Source organism: Homo sapiens, chromosome 14 (genome assembly GCF_000001405.40).
Source record: "Homo sapiens chromosome 14, GRCh38.p14 Primary Assembly".
Lineage (NCBI taxonomy): Eukaryota > Metazoa > Chordata > Mammalia > Primates > Hominidae > Homo > Homo sapiens.
The window spans coordinates 47,773,681-47,790,838 of record NC_000014.9 but is presented as its reverse complement, the minus strand read 5'-3'; the positions used below and the strand labels follow the sequence as shown (position 1 = coordinate 47,790,838).

Genomic DNA, 17,158 nt, shown 5'->3' with positions numbered 1-17,158 from the left:
GGCGGTTAGGGGAAATGGATGCATGTTGATGAACGTGCACAAACTTTCAGTTATAAGATGAATAAGTTCTGAAGATCTGGTGTACAGCATGGAGACTAGAGTTAACACAATACTGTATTGTATACTTGAAATTTTGCTAGGCCGGGCGCAGTGACTCACCCTGTAATCCCAGCACTTTGGGAGGCTGAGGTGGATGGATCATGTGAGGTCAGGAGTTCAAGACAAACCTGCCTAACATGGTGAAGCCACATCTCTACTAAAAATACAAAATACTAGCCAGATGTGGTGGCAGATGCCTGTAATCCCAGCTACTCAGGAGGTTGAGGTAGAAGAATCGCTTGAACCCGGAGGTGGAGGTTGCAGTGAGATAGCTGCCTCACCCCATTCTATCATCTAAGAACACAGCAAGAAGGCGCCCTCTATGAAACAGAAAGTGGACCCTAACCAGACATTAAATCTGCCAATACCTTGAACTTAAGAGTTCCAAGACTCCACAACTGTAAGGAATAAATTTCTGTTATTTTTAAGCCACTCAGTTCATGATATTTTGTTATAGTAGCCCAAATAGACTAAGACACTGTCTCTTGAGTGTGGGTTGTAGCAAATAGTGACTTGCTTTCAAAAACTACAGTGTGGAAGAGAGGAGAATGCCTTTACAGTTGAAAAAGCTGTTCAACACTACTTTGGTCAGGTAATCAAAGTTAATATCATCAACAATAAGTCACGCTGTTAGCATATATCCTTACTACAAGTTGATGAAAAAGATACTTTACAATCTAAAGCTCTTTTTATGCAATCTGTTTTCCTTCTCTTTCTAGTTTTACCAGTATTAATACATTGGCAATAGAAATGCTTTCCTGCTATTCCTAATGACCCTCGTGTTTGTTATTCACAGGTGTTACCGTGAGAAAATATCTTGAACTTCTACTCTGTGTGAGTAAACTTTCTAGAAGAACCAAATGACATTTACTTTTAATGTAATAATTACTATGTTTGAGTTTAAGTCTACTAAAATGGTATTTGTTTTTCATCTCTAGAGTGAATTGATATTTTTAGTATTCCATTTTATCTCTTCTTTTCATTTTTAGTCGTGTTTCTTTGTGTTATTTATTTTGTCGTTTCTCTTATGTATCTTTAATCTATAACAATCTAGCTTCTAAAATAATGTACTACTTTATAAACAATAAGAATTTTACAAAAATATAATTTGAATTATTACCTTCCTGATTTTTGTGTTCTCATCATATATTTAATTACACAAATGTTACAGGATATCACAGTTCATTGTTATATTGCTTTAAACAGTCCATAGTATCTTAAAGACATTTAAAGAGATAGATACAAATATTGATATAAAGTTATGAACATAGATGTAGATATTTCAAAATTTTTTGTAAATATGTTCTATATATTTACATCTTTCTGATGTTCTAGGTTTATGTGTATTAGATTTATAGATATTCACTTTCTATAGCCTGAAGAACTTATTTTAGTCTTTCTTGAAATGCATTGCTGCAAATTCTTTGAGCTTTTATTTAAACATACCTTTATTTTACCTTTATTTTACAAGATTATTTCTTTGAATATAGAAATTTTTATGCATAATTTTTTTCCAACAGTATAAATATTTCATTCTAATTTTTTTTGGTTTCAATCATTTCTGGTAAGAAATCAGCAATTGTCTCAATGTTATTCCACCTTAAAGAATGTAATGTCTTTTTTCCTCCACCAGTTTTTACTGTTTCCTCTTTTCCTTTGTTTTTCAGCAGTTCCACCATGATATGTCCACGTACAGTTTCAGCATACACATTGTGCTTAACCTGTGAATTGATGTAATACCAATTTTGAAAAAACATTTGCTATTCTATCTTTAAATAGTTTCTTCTGTGCAATTTTACTTCAACTTCTTGAGCTTCAATGACTATGTTTCATATTATGATTTAATTTTATATTCAATATTTGTATTTTATAGCATCCCTTTAATCTTGCAAGCTCCATTTTCTTTTATTTACTCTTTGATATGGTTTGGATTTGTGTCCCCACTCAAATCTCATGTAGAATTGTGATCCCCAGTGTTGGATGAGGAGCCTGGTGGGAAGTGATTGGATTATGGGGATGGATTTCTCCTGTGCTGTTCTCATGGTAGTGAGTGAGTTCTCATGAGAGCTGGTTGTTTAAAAGTGTGTATCAACTCCCACTGCTCACTCTTCCTTCTGCTCCATCCATGTAGGATGTGCCAGCTCCTCCTTCACCTTCTGCCATGATTGTAAGTCTCCTGAGGCCTCCCTAGCCATGCTTCCTGTACAGTCTGTGGAACTTTAATTCAATTAAGACTCTTTTCTTTATAAATTACCCAGTCTCAAGTAGTTCTTTATAGCAATGACAGAATGGAGTAATACACTCTTTTACTTTTGGTGTTTCAATTTGAACAGTTTCTACTTACTTGCCTGTTGGTCACTGACTCACTGATTCTTTCCTCTGCTGTGCAGTCTTCCAATAAGCTAGCTGATCAGAATAATTATTCATTTCTGTTGCCATATTTTTAATTTCTAGCATTTTCCGTTGACCTTATTCTTTATAATATATGCTGTGCTAGTAGTTCCCATCTGTTCCTGCTTGTTGTCATCTGCTTTTTGCCCAAGGTCATTTAACATATTTCACATAGTTACTTTAAAATAGCTGGCCTATCCTTAAGACCGTTTAACATTTTTATTACAGTTATTTTTAAGTCCCTGTTTGATAATTCTCACATCTCTTGACTGCTTCTCTCCTGAAGCATTTTCTTTCCTCTTCATTTGTCTAATAAATTTTGCTTACGTTCTGGACAATTTGTGAAAAAAAATAGATGCTGACGTAAATATTTTTGGCTATAAAAGGGCATGCTCCTTCTGAGTCAACCTAGCCTATAGTTGACCTAGGTCTAAACTCTGTTGTTGCTTCAGTTAGATTTAGTTCCCTACAGGTTTCAAATTATTTGAGGGTAGTTTTAGAACCTTTATTTTAATAAACTTGGGATCTGAGTGTCTGAGCCATTTATTTTCATGTCATCAGATCTCATGCTCATGCACTTGGGATAGTTTTATTTCATCTTTCTTTCCCCACACCCAGCTACAAATGGCATCTGCTGCATGCTTATTGTCAGACCCAGAGTGCATATAGGGATGCCCTCCATTTTTTTTTTCTCATTGTCCTCAGACCTCAGTAATCTCTGTACCTTTGCACCTTTAGAAGTCATTCTCACCTGTTCTCTAGGCACAGAGAGGTGCTTTTCCCTATTAAGTATAAGGCACCATGGCCTAAGGGCTTTCTCGCAGTTATACTGCTCTGCCCTCACATTTTAGCAGGCTCATCACATTACCACATGATGAGTATCTGAAGTGTCCAGAGGTTTCTCTCAGTCCTACTTCTTCCCCTCAGACTTCAGCAGGCCCTACACACCTGAACCTCCCATGGAATCTGTCTCAGCTCTCCTGTGCTGCCCACAATCTTTCTCATGAGAGCTCAATAAGGCTTGTGGGAAAGAGTTGGCGGATAGTTGCAGATATTTTTCATCTATGTCTCCTAGGGATTCTGTCATACCAGTCTGTTATTAGTCTTTAACAACTCATTGAAAGTATAACTGTTTTCTTCTTGCTCATAGCTTTGGTGGCTTCTTCATTATTCAGCTGTTTGGCCACAGATTAAAGCATTTGTGGATCACTTCTATTCTAAGCAAATCACTGTGTGGGTTATAATTTAGTAGGTTTCTTTGCATGCTCCCATCTCTAATGAGCTTAAGAAACTATGACTTTAAGTTTCGCGTGGTTAGGATTGAAGAGACAATCCTCTTGCAACTCTATGTTCTAAGTGGAAGAAGAAGATATCACCCATTATTTTTAATGGACTAATTCTCCCAGTAGTATCTTTGTAAAATGATTAATGAAAAATGTTTTGAATTTTTTTAAAAAATTGCAATTTTTTTATTTCTATAAGCTTATTTAGGAATAAAAGCTTTTAATTTTTCTAAAAATATTGGGATGCCCATGATATTGGAATTTCTCAGAAAAATAGACAGTTTCAGCCAGGCATGGTGGCTCACACAGTAATCTCAACACTTTGGGAGGCCGAGGCGGGTGGATCACCTGAGGTCAGGAGTTCAAGACCAGAGTGGCCAACATGGTGAAACCCCATCTTTACTAAAAATATAAAAAATTAGCTGGGTGTGGTGGCGGGCACCTATAATCTCAGCTACTCGGGAGGCTGAGGCAGGAGAATCACTTGAACCGAGGAGGCAGAGGTTGTGGTGAGCCAAGATCACGCCATTGCACTCCACCCTGGGTGACAGAGCGAGACTCCATCTCAAAAAAAAAAAAAAAAAAACTCTCTCTCTCTCTCTCTCTCTCTATATATATATATATATAGTATATATATATATGTATATGTATATACACACACAAACACACACACACACACACACACACACAGTTTCTATGTCCTGGGCTTACTAAATCCCAGGCATAAATCCAATTTACAGTAGCTAAAATAACAAACAAACATGGTTAACTGCTAAGAAAATATCATGGTTTTACACCACAAGTTAAAAGCAAAATTCTCCTGTATGTAAAACTAGAACAATATTGCTATGGAACTAAGAATCCTGAAGTGTAAGTATAAAATTCTAGGTGAGATTAAGATAGTTTTGGGAACATAAAAGTCATGTTGAATACAAAGATTGATCACTTAATAAATTGATTACTTAGACCTTATTTAAATCAATGTTTAAAGCTTAAGAGAGGCAAAACAATATTTTTTACAAAACCTGAATATAAAATATTTGCATTTTAACATACAATCGCCTTGAATATAAATTTGAAAACTCCAGGTTAATATATTCTAAAGTACTAATGAATGGTTTAATCATAAAAATTACTATTATTCAATAAATTCAAAAATGTGCACACTCATCCAAATGTAGTAACAAATTGGTATTGCTCTATTTCAACCATGTATTTCTTATTTAAAAAATGCATAGTTGTCCTATTAATCAGAAAAGTTCTGAGTTACAAATTAGCAACCAGTTAACTCAAGAACAAAAACAATAAAAAAAATTATTGATTAAATCTGATTATACATATGCAATAAATGTTGACTGAAGACTATATTTATTATTAAAAAGTCCATTAGTTCTTCAATACAAAAGAACAAATTATAATTGCAATATGAGTAAAAGGGAAAGAGATAAACTGAAGTTTATTAAGTAGTTACCATGTGACTGGCACTATTACATCACAACTTTATTTTTTACAATGTGCAGTTTATGGAACTTGTGGTAAAGAGGTCAGTTTCTTAGCCTTAGTCAAACACTAGTGGGGCTTAGTTTCAAAATCAGGTATGACTGCCTTTTAATTCCATCTCTAAGAAAAAAAAAACTGGAGGTGATAGGATTAGAAGGATAAGAAGATGAGGCCTAACTTCAAAGATAATAAGTTTTGTGTAAAACCACAGACCGTAGAAAACAGAATGAGGAGGGCCATCAAACAATGAAATTCTCTCAGGGAACATTAAGTCAGTTCTTGGCCACAGAGAAAGGAATACAAATATTCTGGCAGGTCTACACACTGGTTATCTAATAGTGAAACAACTTAGGCAAGGATTTAAAGTATTACCAAATCACCGAGGGCTATGGCTGGAAGAATCAATCAAAGGAGGCATAAAAATGCCTCATAGTTGCACCTAGGGACTCTTTATAAAATAAAGTTTGGTTAAAACATAGCTAGAGATCAGCAAATAGCTTGAATATCCTCCAGCAATGCTCAAGGCAATGAAAGAGTTGACTATGTTCATATACACAGCTCCAAGATATTCAAGTGGTAGAAAGACTGGCAATTTTAAAATACAAAATGACCCTGAAATATCAACCAGCTGGAAAAAGCAACAACTTTCTACTTTTCTGAACAATGTCTTCTTCAAGCTACTTATTGTCCCCTGGACATTCTTTATGAAATTAACTTAGAATTAACTTTTTACGTATTAATTTACTAAACTCAGTCCACTAGCCATGATCTTTAAAATATGTAATATCTCCAGAGAATGCTTTATATTTGGATGACAGCTTTTATTTAAGCATTAAAGTGTAGATGTTTGAATGACAAAAATTAAGAGCTTTCTATCTGGGCTTTATCATATCACAAAGGGCAGAATTGTGTTTTTGGAACAATTTTGAATATTAGAATTTAAACACATAGATAAATACACATACACATATATTAAGTCAGGTATCAAATTAAATAGAAATTGTACTATCATGCTATAAAACTATATTATAGCTATGAAATATGGAAATGTAAATGCTATATTATAAGGGAGATTACTTTCTTTAAAAGCTCTGCCTATGAAAATCAGCAACAGAGGTCAGTAGGTTTGTTTTCAAATATGATGCTTCAAAATGTACCCCAGAAGTATCAATTCTGTAGGTTATTGGCAGTTCCTTTTCTCCTCACGTAGAGAAATTAATATAACAAATAAGGATAATTATCAAATCTATGGCTATATCTGTGAAGTCTTTATTTTTTATAGTGAACACTTTTCCTATAAGCAACAGAAAAACCAACCATGAAGTAAGAAAATATTTCACTTAACAAGAACCTAAAGTTAAGCAGTCACGCTTTTCCTTACTCATCTCACAAAAATCAGGATTCTGAGTCAACACCAGTATTAGTTAAGATTAGTTTTGGATTTAAGGGACAGAAAATTCAAAATAAAAACTGGCTAAAAATATGGAAATTTAATTATTTACTGTGTAAAAGTTCAGATACATGAACCATGGCTGAAAGATGCCCTACAGAATTGGATATCTAACATTTTCTTTTGTTGTTACATCATTTTTATTTGGAATTCCATTTTCAATTCACCTTAAGGTAAAAAAAATTGCTTTAGCTAGAGCTGTATGCAACAGGATAAACTAGAAAGAGGAAAAATATCAAAAGTTGCATATCTTTCGTCAGAACTTAATGACCTGACTGCAACTAACATCAAGAAAAGTTGGTACATATATAGACGTTAAGCTGTTTCTATTATAATTTTCTTGTTTTTCCCTGGGAGACCAAAGGATTGTCACAGCTTCAGCCACTGCAGAGTTAGGTTTTATTCAAGGGCAGGAGGCAGAAGAAGCAGGAGCTATCTCCATCTGTTATCCCCTTATTATCTAAGAGGATATTCTTTTTCCAATTGCTTCCTCAGGATATCTCCAGTTACAACTCATTGGACAGAACTAGGTCACATGCCCAGCTCTAGCAGCCAGGACAGTCATGAAAGCAAGGATTTATCAAGGAGAATAAGATTGGTTTCTATGACCAAAACCAATGATAATGAATCCTCTGCAACTGGGAACTTTGGAGTCAAAACAAGGAGTTTTGTTGGTATGCAAAATTGGAGAACACCTATTAACTAAGCAAACCATAGTGTTTGCCAGTATAACAATGTTTTGGATTTTAAAAATCCAACAACATTATAAAGCCAAACACAAAAATATTTAGCACAAATTGTTCAGTTTTGGAAAGTGGTATTAGAAAATTGAAAGGAGAAGAAAAGAAGAAAGGAGGGAAGGAAGAAATGGAATAAAGATCAAATGTTTTACATTTCCAAATATTTATTCAAATAAACAGGAAATCAAAGTATGTAATAAACTAGAATTGAACAAAACTGAGAATACAACATATAAAAATATTACACAATGCAGCTAAAATTTTTCTACAAAAATTAAGTCTTAAATGTTATGAGAAAGTAGGAAATAATAAAAATACATATTATTAGATTAAAAAAGAAAACTACAAATATATTTTAAGATATGAAAAAATAATTTGAAATCAGTATGCATTTTTAATTTTTAAAAAACAATCATGTGACAAACTAAGAATAGGACACAAGATATTTACCCTATTGAAGAATATCATGAATCAATAGAAAACCCCTTATTAACAGAGAACAAAGAAATGATGCCCAATTGAACAACTATTATTTATATTATTATTTTAAGAAATATAGTAGAAAATTGAAGAATTTAGTCATCTTAGTAGTGGAATGTTAATAATGATAGCTTTTATTATTAATAATACATAGAAATATAGGTACATTAACATTATATTCAAATTTATGAGAGAATACAGTAACATTCAAGACAAGATATATTATACCTTATGCCATATCCCTGCTCTATACTGTAGTTCTATAATATCAGAAATAAACAGATTTTTTAAAAGTAATGTAAAAGTGTTGATATGGTTTTGTTGTGTCCTCACCCAAATCTCATCTTGAATTGTAATTCCCATAATTCCCGCATATTGTGGAAGGGACCCAGTGGGAGTTAATTGATTCATGGGGGCAGGTTTTTCCCGTGCTGTTGTCATGATAGTGAATAAGTCTCATGAGATGTGATGATTTTATAAAAGGGCAGTTTCCCTGCACACGCTCTCTTGCTTGCTGCCATGTAAGACATGTCTTGCTTCCCCTTTGCTTTCTGCCATGATCGTGAGGCTTCCTAGCCACGTGGAACTGTGGGTCAATTAAACCTCTTTCCTGTATAAATTACCCAGTTTCAGGTTTGCCTTTATTAGCAGCAGGAAAACAGACGAATACAAGTATCTTTCCCACAATACAAATAAAAGAAGGGTTAAACAACATTAATCTGCAAGACTGTTATGAAGAAAGTAATAAATCTCTACTTAAAAATGTAAAACAAGACCTGAATAATTAGAGAGATATCACATATTCCTAGAAAAAAAGAGTTACCATGGAAAATATTTTACTTATATTCAAATCCAAATAAATACAATACAATCATGTTTCTATAAACCAATAAAATCTGAGTCAATGGACTTCCCTAGAATATTATCTATATAGGATTCTGAAACTCAAATCGGAGGTGCTAGGGAGACCTCAGCTGATCTGAGAATCAACAAAAAATCTACTGGCCTGCTAAATTCAAAAGATATGCATTAAAATACTGTCATTAGGCAAAATAATTCATGGTTTCTATCATCACCCTCACACACACAGAACAATGAAAACCACAAGCTCCACTGATCCATACATATTACATGTCATAAATTGAAATAGTGCTGCTGTTCATGTGAATTATGATGACGTCTTTGGGCCACATGGTATCCATTCAGCCTCCAACAGTCCATAGACTAGAGGTCAGCCATGTGGGCAGTCAAACATAGAGTTCCAGTAAAATCTCTGGAAACTAAAGTTCTGAGGAGCCTCCTCGGTTGGCAATATTCTATGCATATTGTCACACATTGATGTCAGGAGGGTAATGCATCCTGAAAATAATAGAAGCCTCACATTTGAAACACCCACACCCCCACTTCATTGAACTCCACCCTGTGCATCTCTTCCCTTGGCAGATTTTATTCTATATTCTTTCTCTGTAATAAACCATAACCATGAATATATCACGGCTTTCAGTGAGTTCCCTGGGTCTTTCTAGTGACTTGTTAAATCTGAGAGTGATCTTGGGAAACCCCCAAACATACAACTGGTATTCAAAGTGAGGATGGTCTTGAGTACCGTGTCTTCCAACTTCACAGAAAATATCTCACGTTTCCCCTTACAGATACTCCTTCTTTAATGACATTGTACAGGACACCAAATGCTTGTAAAATCATGCCTAACATGAATTTTTAACATGGAGTCAAGAAAGTAATAATGAGTTGTGTAGCTACCAAGAGATCATAAGAGATAAGGAGGTTTTCTCAGAGGTATTTTTCCTAGAAGTACCAGTTACTGAAGGAAAGAAGAAATTCTGGGTCATCGAGGAGACTAAAATAAACTGCTGCCATAACCGGTGCTGCTGGTGTTTGTTGACTGGGGTATCCACTGGGAGGATGTCAATGTGGAAACACACTATGGGCTAGAGGAGCCTGGTGGCCTCTACTATTCCAAGGTGTGAAACCATGAACATCCGGGGGAAATGGTAAAGATGCTTAGTCTATGAAATATTGCATCACAGAGGGAAACCTGACTCTCCAGTAAGCCTGATGAGCTCAGATGAATTGTACACAACCATAGAGACTTGAGGTTGTAGATTATCTCTTAGGTAGCAAACAGAAGATGTGGTCTGCTAAGAGAATACTGTAGTGCTATTTTCCAATTGAATTTTATATAAAATTAGAAATTCATTAATCCGGAAAATAATTTACTTCTAAGGTTTACTAATTATTTAACACCTTTTAATTAAACTAAAGTTTAAAATATATATGCATATATACTACATAAATGTCAGAAAATAATTTTAATAAATTTGTAATAGTATTTATGATACAGTGTGAACTGTACATTTGGCAGAGTTGCTTAAACATCTAGGTAAAACAATATAAGCTTAAATATAAAAGAAAAAAACACTAAGTTTGTTTTAAATTACCTCATTTACATAACAGAGTGTGACCATAAAGCTCAGTCTTTGCTTGGTCATGTTTAATTGTTTCTAAAATGATTGGTTTTTAGTAAGAAGCAGCTTACCTTGGGCTTAGAGGGGAAATCAGAATGTTGTATCAACAGTAAATAATAAGATGCTAGTACGATAAAGGAGATTAAGGAAAAGTATGAGAAACACTTATTAAAAAACATATGCATTGGCTGGGTGCATTGGCTCACGCCTGTAATCCCAGCACTTTGGGAGGCTGAGGCAGGCAGATCACGAGGTCAAGAGATCGAGACCATTCTGGCCAACATGGTGAAAACCCAAATCTACTAAAAGTACAAAAAAAAAAAAAATTAGCCGGGCGTGGGGGCACACACCTGTACTTCCAGCTACTCGGGAGGCTGGGGTAGAAGAATCTCTTGAACCCGGGAGGAGGAGGTTGCAGTGAGCAGAGATTGTGCCACTGCACTCCAGCCTGGCGACAGAGTGAGACTCTGTCTCAAAAAAAAAAAAAAAAAGCATTTTAAATATGTAAAATTAACCCAAGCAATGAGTATTTAATCAGTTCACTGCTTAAAAATCTTGTGACAATGAATCCCTTATCATTGTTTCTATATAATAAAGAACACTTGTACCAGTGTTCGTGATAAATTTTTAAAGTGTGGAGACACTAATGAAAGTCATATCAGCTTATTTTCAAAGAATCCCAGAGTATCTAGGCTGAGTGGGGGAAAACAGCCACTGAACTTGATACTCAAGGACATATCAGGAGGGAAAGGGCCGAAAATACATTGGTAATCAGCAGTAGTTGATATTTGAAAATAGGCTAGGAGGCCCTGTACTAAGTGCATTCCATGTGTTGCTTCACAGGAAGCAAAAGCTGATGTCAATTATGATAACTGATCAAAATGGTGAATTATATGAAGCCCGATTTAGTAGCACAGTCCGACCCTTTCTACCACTCTCCAGTGTCAGGAGAGGGTGTGGAGAGTTTGTATTTGCATATTTAGGAGTTGGAGGTAAAATGATCTTTGTCCTTTGATAAAATTAAGAACTGTATAAATTTCAGTGATACAAGGGATTGCAGCTACCATACCCTGGCTGCTGGAAATTGGTTTATTTTAATTGTGAGATCATATCCAGACATAATACATGTTCCTGAATGAGCATAACTGATTTTTGCAATGTTCTCATACCTAGAAATATAATGCTGTGAATGACAGCAGAATGACAAGGGTGGCTAAAGAATAGCTCCCCAAACACGCTCAAGGCAACTGGTGAAGAAATGTGACCCAATATTTTAACCAGGTTCTTAAATCATTGCAGTTTGGCAGTAGACCTGGGGGAGGGAGTGGGCAGGAAAAAGAGGTTTTTTAAAAAAAGAAAAGACGAGAGACAACACAAAGATCTGCAATAATAAAGCTACAGGCATTTCAAGTGATTTAAACAACTCTCTTTTATCTAATTGCACCTGTGTATGCAAGGCAGTGTTGTTTAACATAACGGTAGAGGAGTAACTGGGAATTATTGATAGCTGTTCAGGCTCTTTCAGAGGAAGGCAGAGCTGAGCACTTCTCCAACCTGCAGCCTTATCTCTGTGAAGCAGCAGCCGTGAGAACATAGCTCACTCCATCTGTGTTATATTCTCTGATCTTAGCAGCTGAGGAACAGCAGGTGATAGACTCCTAACGTCTAGGGAGTTGGAGCAATTAGACAGCAAAGAAATAAATACTCGACACAAATAGCTCACTGCATCACCACTGTTTACCTATACAGAGCTCTTTGGAAATTATGTGTTATCAGTTTCAAATCATACACCTTAAGTTACCTGATGTTTGAAGATGTTATAATATTTGGCTGGTAGCCTGAATTTTAGTGGGTTATAGATTCCAAGTGTTTTATGAATATCGTGCCTTTGACTCTTGTTTCCTTTCATTATAATGGACAATGCTTGTTATTTAACATATTGCATTATGCAGTTTGTCCTATGTCAGTAAGCCTGATGTTTTGGTGAACATTTTTGTGAACAGTAGAAGGAAAAACTTTGACAGAATTCTGTATTGAAATTTCATATTATTATTTGTTCCGTTGCTATTGTTGCTTCAACAAGCTTGAATTCTGGTTTGTTTGTTTGTTTGTTTGTTTGTTGCCTATTGTTTGCTCTGCTTAATGGAAAACAGGAACTGGTAGTTTTACTTCATACCTAAGTAGCCTGATAAAGTTCTGGTCTGCAACAGGGAAAGGATATTGGATCTCTTGGAATTGCTGAGGAATCTATATAATTCTCTAAGGTACTCATTTTACTGAGGTTTACATGGCGTGTAAAAACAGCCAATGTTTTTAAAGGGATACAGATTGCTATTATGTTACATAAAAGTTTTGCCTCCCAAGTCATGGAAAATTAATAAATTAACAAATGAGAAAGGGAGAGGAAAAATAGTAGTGAACTATAAGCTGGTGAGTAAAGAATGTAGTAGCATATGTTAAGAATGTGGTATGAGCTGGACACAGTTGCTCATGCCTGTAATCTCAGAACCTTGGGAGGCCAAGGTGGGTGGATCCAATGGACTCAGTAGTTCGAGATCAGCCTAGACAACATGGTGAAACCCTGTCTCTACCAGAGACGAGATTGTGCCACTGCACTTCAACCTGGGTGACAGAGTGAGATCCTTTCTCAAAATAAATAAATAAAAAGTGATGTGTCAAGTCTTTTCTCCAGCTGAATATGTGTGTCTCACCGGCTTTTCTGCATGTGCTATCTGTGAAACTGTAGAGGAGAAAAAGCTATTTCTTTTCCTCGCCCATCGCTAGGTTCATGACTGTGACTCCTGTAACAAAAGACAGATTACAAGAGAAAACCATACAACGTATTTAATATAAATTTTACGTAATATGGAAATTTCAGAGGTGAAAACTGTGTATATTCGGAGGGGAAAACTGTGTTTCCCAAAGAAACAGGGAAAACTGTGTATATTTTATGCTAAGCATGATGAAGAAGTAGACAGTTGTGGAGGAACATGATTGGGAAAAAGGAAGATATGATCTAATAGCTATAAACTGGGAGAAAATTTAGCAAGACCTGTTTGTTCTGACAGAAACCAGAATATTTCACCACAAAATATACTTTTTTGGTGTATTTCTATATGGCTATTCTGAAGGGCTGCAACCCACAGAAATACCCCTGAAAAAATTGCCCTTTTGTGTGGGAGATTTGCATTATAGAGAAAATCTGCATTAGTAAAAAAATACAGCAACGCAAACAGACTTTTTCTGAGGGTCCTCTTATCCGGATCCAGGAAAGATTAACTCACAGAAAAAGAGACTAAAATCTTATACCTTCAAAGAAGTTTTGACAGAAAAATGTTACTGCAGGCCACCATGTATTCTTTCTGAGAGTTGCTATCTGTGAGATTTCTGCAATAACAAGTCTGCTTTTGCTCACCATGCCTTTCCTCCTCTCTCCCTCCCATATCCTATCTTTCCCCTATTCCTTCTGTAACCTCAAGATGGTACAAAAACTTCAGCTATCTGGCACTTCCTTTGAGTCTCATACTCAGTGCATGGCTCCTATATCTATATACATGTTAGTAAAATTTGTATACCTTTTTGTTCCTGTTCATTTGTCTTTTTTTTTTTTTTTTTTTACACAGGTATCCTAGCAAAGACCTTGTGAGGACTCAGAAAAAATATTTATATTTTCTCCCCTTCAGATTTTTCTTGGTGTTCCTGTGTGACATTCCTTTCTTCTGGGTATATTTCAAAAATCCCCTGAAATAAGAGTCTTATGACCTATTTTCAGGGGAAGCTCAGCTAGGTTTTATGGTCTGCTTCAGGAGACAAGGTCAAGGTGAATTACTTTTATTAACTGTTTCTATATCCTGCTTCAGAGACATCTTCCTGTTTCTGTGGTTTGATCAATTCCTTCAGCTTAAAATACTCATTGTGTCAAGGTGCTGTATTTTGGATAGCACGTCCTGAACCACATCCCTGTGTAAACTTGGGCAAGTTCCATAATCTTAGAATATACTTAGTTTTCTCATATGAAAAATATGCGAAAGGAGATTAAATAGGACTCTTGTGAAAAGTAAACAAATAAACTATATTAGCAGCCTATTATCATGCCTGGAACATGTTAAGTGCTTAGAAAATATCAATTATTGTAACTACCTAAATAAGTCACCAAGTAAAAAGCCAGTGTATCTAAATTATAAATCCAGTCATTCTAATTCTAATTCTTGAGATTCAGTCATGGAAACTGTCCATTTTGTTCACTAAAGATTATTTGTTGTGCTATTAATAAAATCTGCACATAATACCTATCACTTTATGTTTCTTATATTTTTCAATGTTAGTCATTCAGGTTTCAGGGAATAGGACATGGCATTCACATAGGAAATGAAATCTGTACTCAAATTGGGCAACATTTGGCAGATGAGACTTTTGATGTCTTTTGTAGTGTTGGCACACATTGCCTATTTTGGATTTAATTAAGACTTCAAAAATTTAATTTTCTTGGAAGTAGTCTTTTTAATGTCCACATCCAGAGACATTGTTTTGTAACTAAAACTGTTGACCTTTTTGAAAAAGTTGTTCTGTGTTTTTTTTGTGTTATATATATATTAAAACTGGTTTTTATGCGTAGTTTAAGAAGTAATTGTTAAAATTTTAAAGGGCTATTGAAAGGTTTCACTTCTTCACCCATGAGTTAATACTTGACATTTAACAGCTAGTGTTTTATTTTAGCTAGCAAAATTTTAATTTTTGTAAAACAGACACTATTTCTGTGCAGTGTGTAGAGCCCACTCAGCTGATTTAAATTTTTTTTACCTCAGAATGAGTTAATTTATTCCACAAATTTCTCAAATGTTTTGAGATGATAAAAAGGTAAAATACTATGAATGTTAGTGAGTGAAAATGGGGGCATACTTTGAAAGGAAAATGATGTAAAGTTGGAAATTGAAGTACTACAGAAACATCTTCGCCTACTTCAGAATTCCCTAGGATCTTATTTCTTTACTCAGCAGGCCTTTAAAAGTCAGATTAGGGAATGAAGACCCATGAGGTTATTGTGCAGAGACAGTGCTAGGGAAGTTCAGTTCATTTGGGCCATCATCATGGAGATAGAAAGGACTAGGAAACCCCAGAGTCAAGAAGAATAAATCTCTTCCTCAGTGCCATGACAAGCCATGTCTGAGCCTGATGCAAAAGAAGAAATGGGCTCTGCAATATACACTTATGTAAAATATCTGTAAATTTCATTTGTTGAACCAAATCGAAAAAGGTAATAAAAGTTAATAAAAATCAAAAACCATGAGTATACATAAAGGCCTGCATTGCCTCACTTGTTCCAACACTATTGTCAGCCTTTATTGGCCCACCCCATGGGGGATGTGACAGTTTTGTGGCCCTGACTAGGACCTAGGGCTCATTGGGAACAACTTTTTCTCTTGCACAAAGCACAGGGTTGTAAAACAAACAAGAAACAATAGCCTGTCTTTATAATTTTCTTCACCATGGATTTTTTAAAGTATTTTTTTTAGAACAGTTTTATATTCACAGCAAAAGTGAGAGGAAGGGTCACAGCATCAATGTACCTACCTCCTGTCTCCACACATGCATAGCGTTTCTCATTATCAACATCCCCCACCAATGTGGTACATTTCTTATGACTGATGAACCTACACAGACACATTATTATCACCCAGAGTCCAAAATTTACATTATTGTTCACTGTTGGTGTTATACATTCCATAGGTTTGTACAAATTTGTAATGACATGTGTCCATCTTTATAGTATCAGACAGAAGATTTTCACTGCCCTGAATTTGCTCTGTATTTCACCTATTCATCCATCCCTCCCCTCAACACCTAGAAACCACTGTACTGTTTGACTGTCTCAATACTTTTGCCATTTCCAGAGTGTCATATAGTTGAAATGATACAGTATGTACCTTTTCAAATTGGCTTTTTTTTTAGTAGTATGCATTTACGTTTCTTCCATGTCTTTTCGTGGATTGAGAGCTCATTTCTTTTTAGCAATAAATAATATTATATTGTCTGGATATACCACAGTTTACTTATTCATTTACCTACTGAAAGACAACTTGGTTGCTTCCATGTTTTGGCAATAATAAATGAAGCTGCTTTAAACATCCATATGCAGATTTTTGCTTGGACATGTTTATAGCTCCTTTGGGTTAATATTAAGGAGCATAACTGCTGAATTGTAGGATAAGAGTATGTTTAGTTTTGTAAGAAACTGCTAAACTGTCATTCAAAGTGGCTATACCATTTTGCATTCCCCCCAGAATGAATGAAGGTACCTGTTGCTCCACATCTTCATCAGCATTTGGTGCTTGTCAATGTTCTGGATTTTGGTTACTGTAATAGACATTTAGTGGAATTTCTTTATTTTAATTTGCATTTCCCTCATGATATAGGATGTGGAGCATATTTTCATATGCTTATTGCTATTTGTGTATCATATTTGCTAAGGTGTCAGGTCTTTTGCCCATTTTAAAAATTGTTTTCTTATTGTTATGTTTTAAGAGTTCTTCGTATATGTTGAATAACAATCCTTCATGACATATGTCTTTTGCGAATATTTTCAGTCTATGATTTGTCTTTTCATTATCTTAACAATATCTTTTACAGAGTGGACATTTTTAATTTTCATTAAGTTCAGCTTGCCAATTCTTTCTTTCATGAATTATGCCCTTGCTGTTATATATAAAAAGTTATCAGCAAATCCAGGCT

The 17,158-nt window shown here is 35.1% G+C and overlaps 1 long non-coding RNA gene across 1 annotated transcript in view; it reads left to right on the top strand.

Moving 5' to 3' along the window:
* The window catches only part of LINC00648 (long intergenic non-protein coding RNA 648), a 30,062-nt gene that overhangs the window by 4,176 nt on the left and 8,728 nt on the right, over window positions 1-17,158 (top strand). Inside the window, exon 2 of the long non-coding RNA NR_039996.1 lies at window positions 896-933. This is a non-coding gene — a long non-coding RNA (long intergenic non-protein coding RNA 648). The remainder of the gene's footprint in view (window positions 1-895; window positions 934-17,158) is intronic.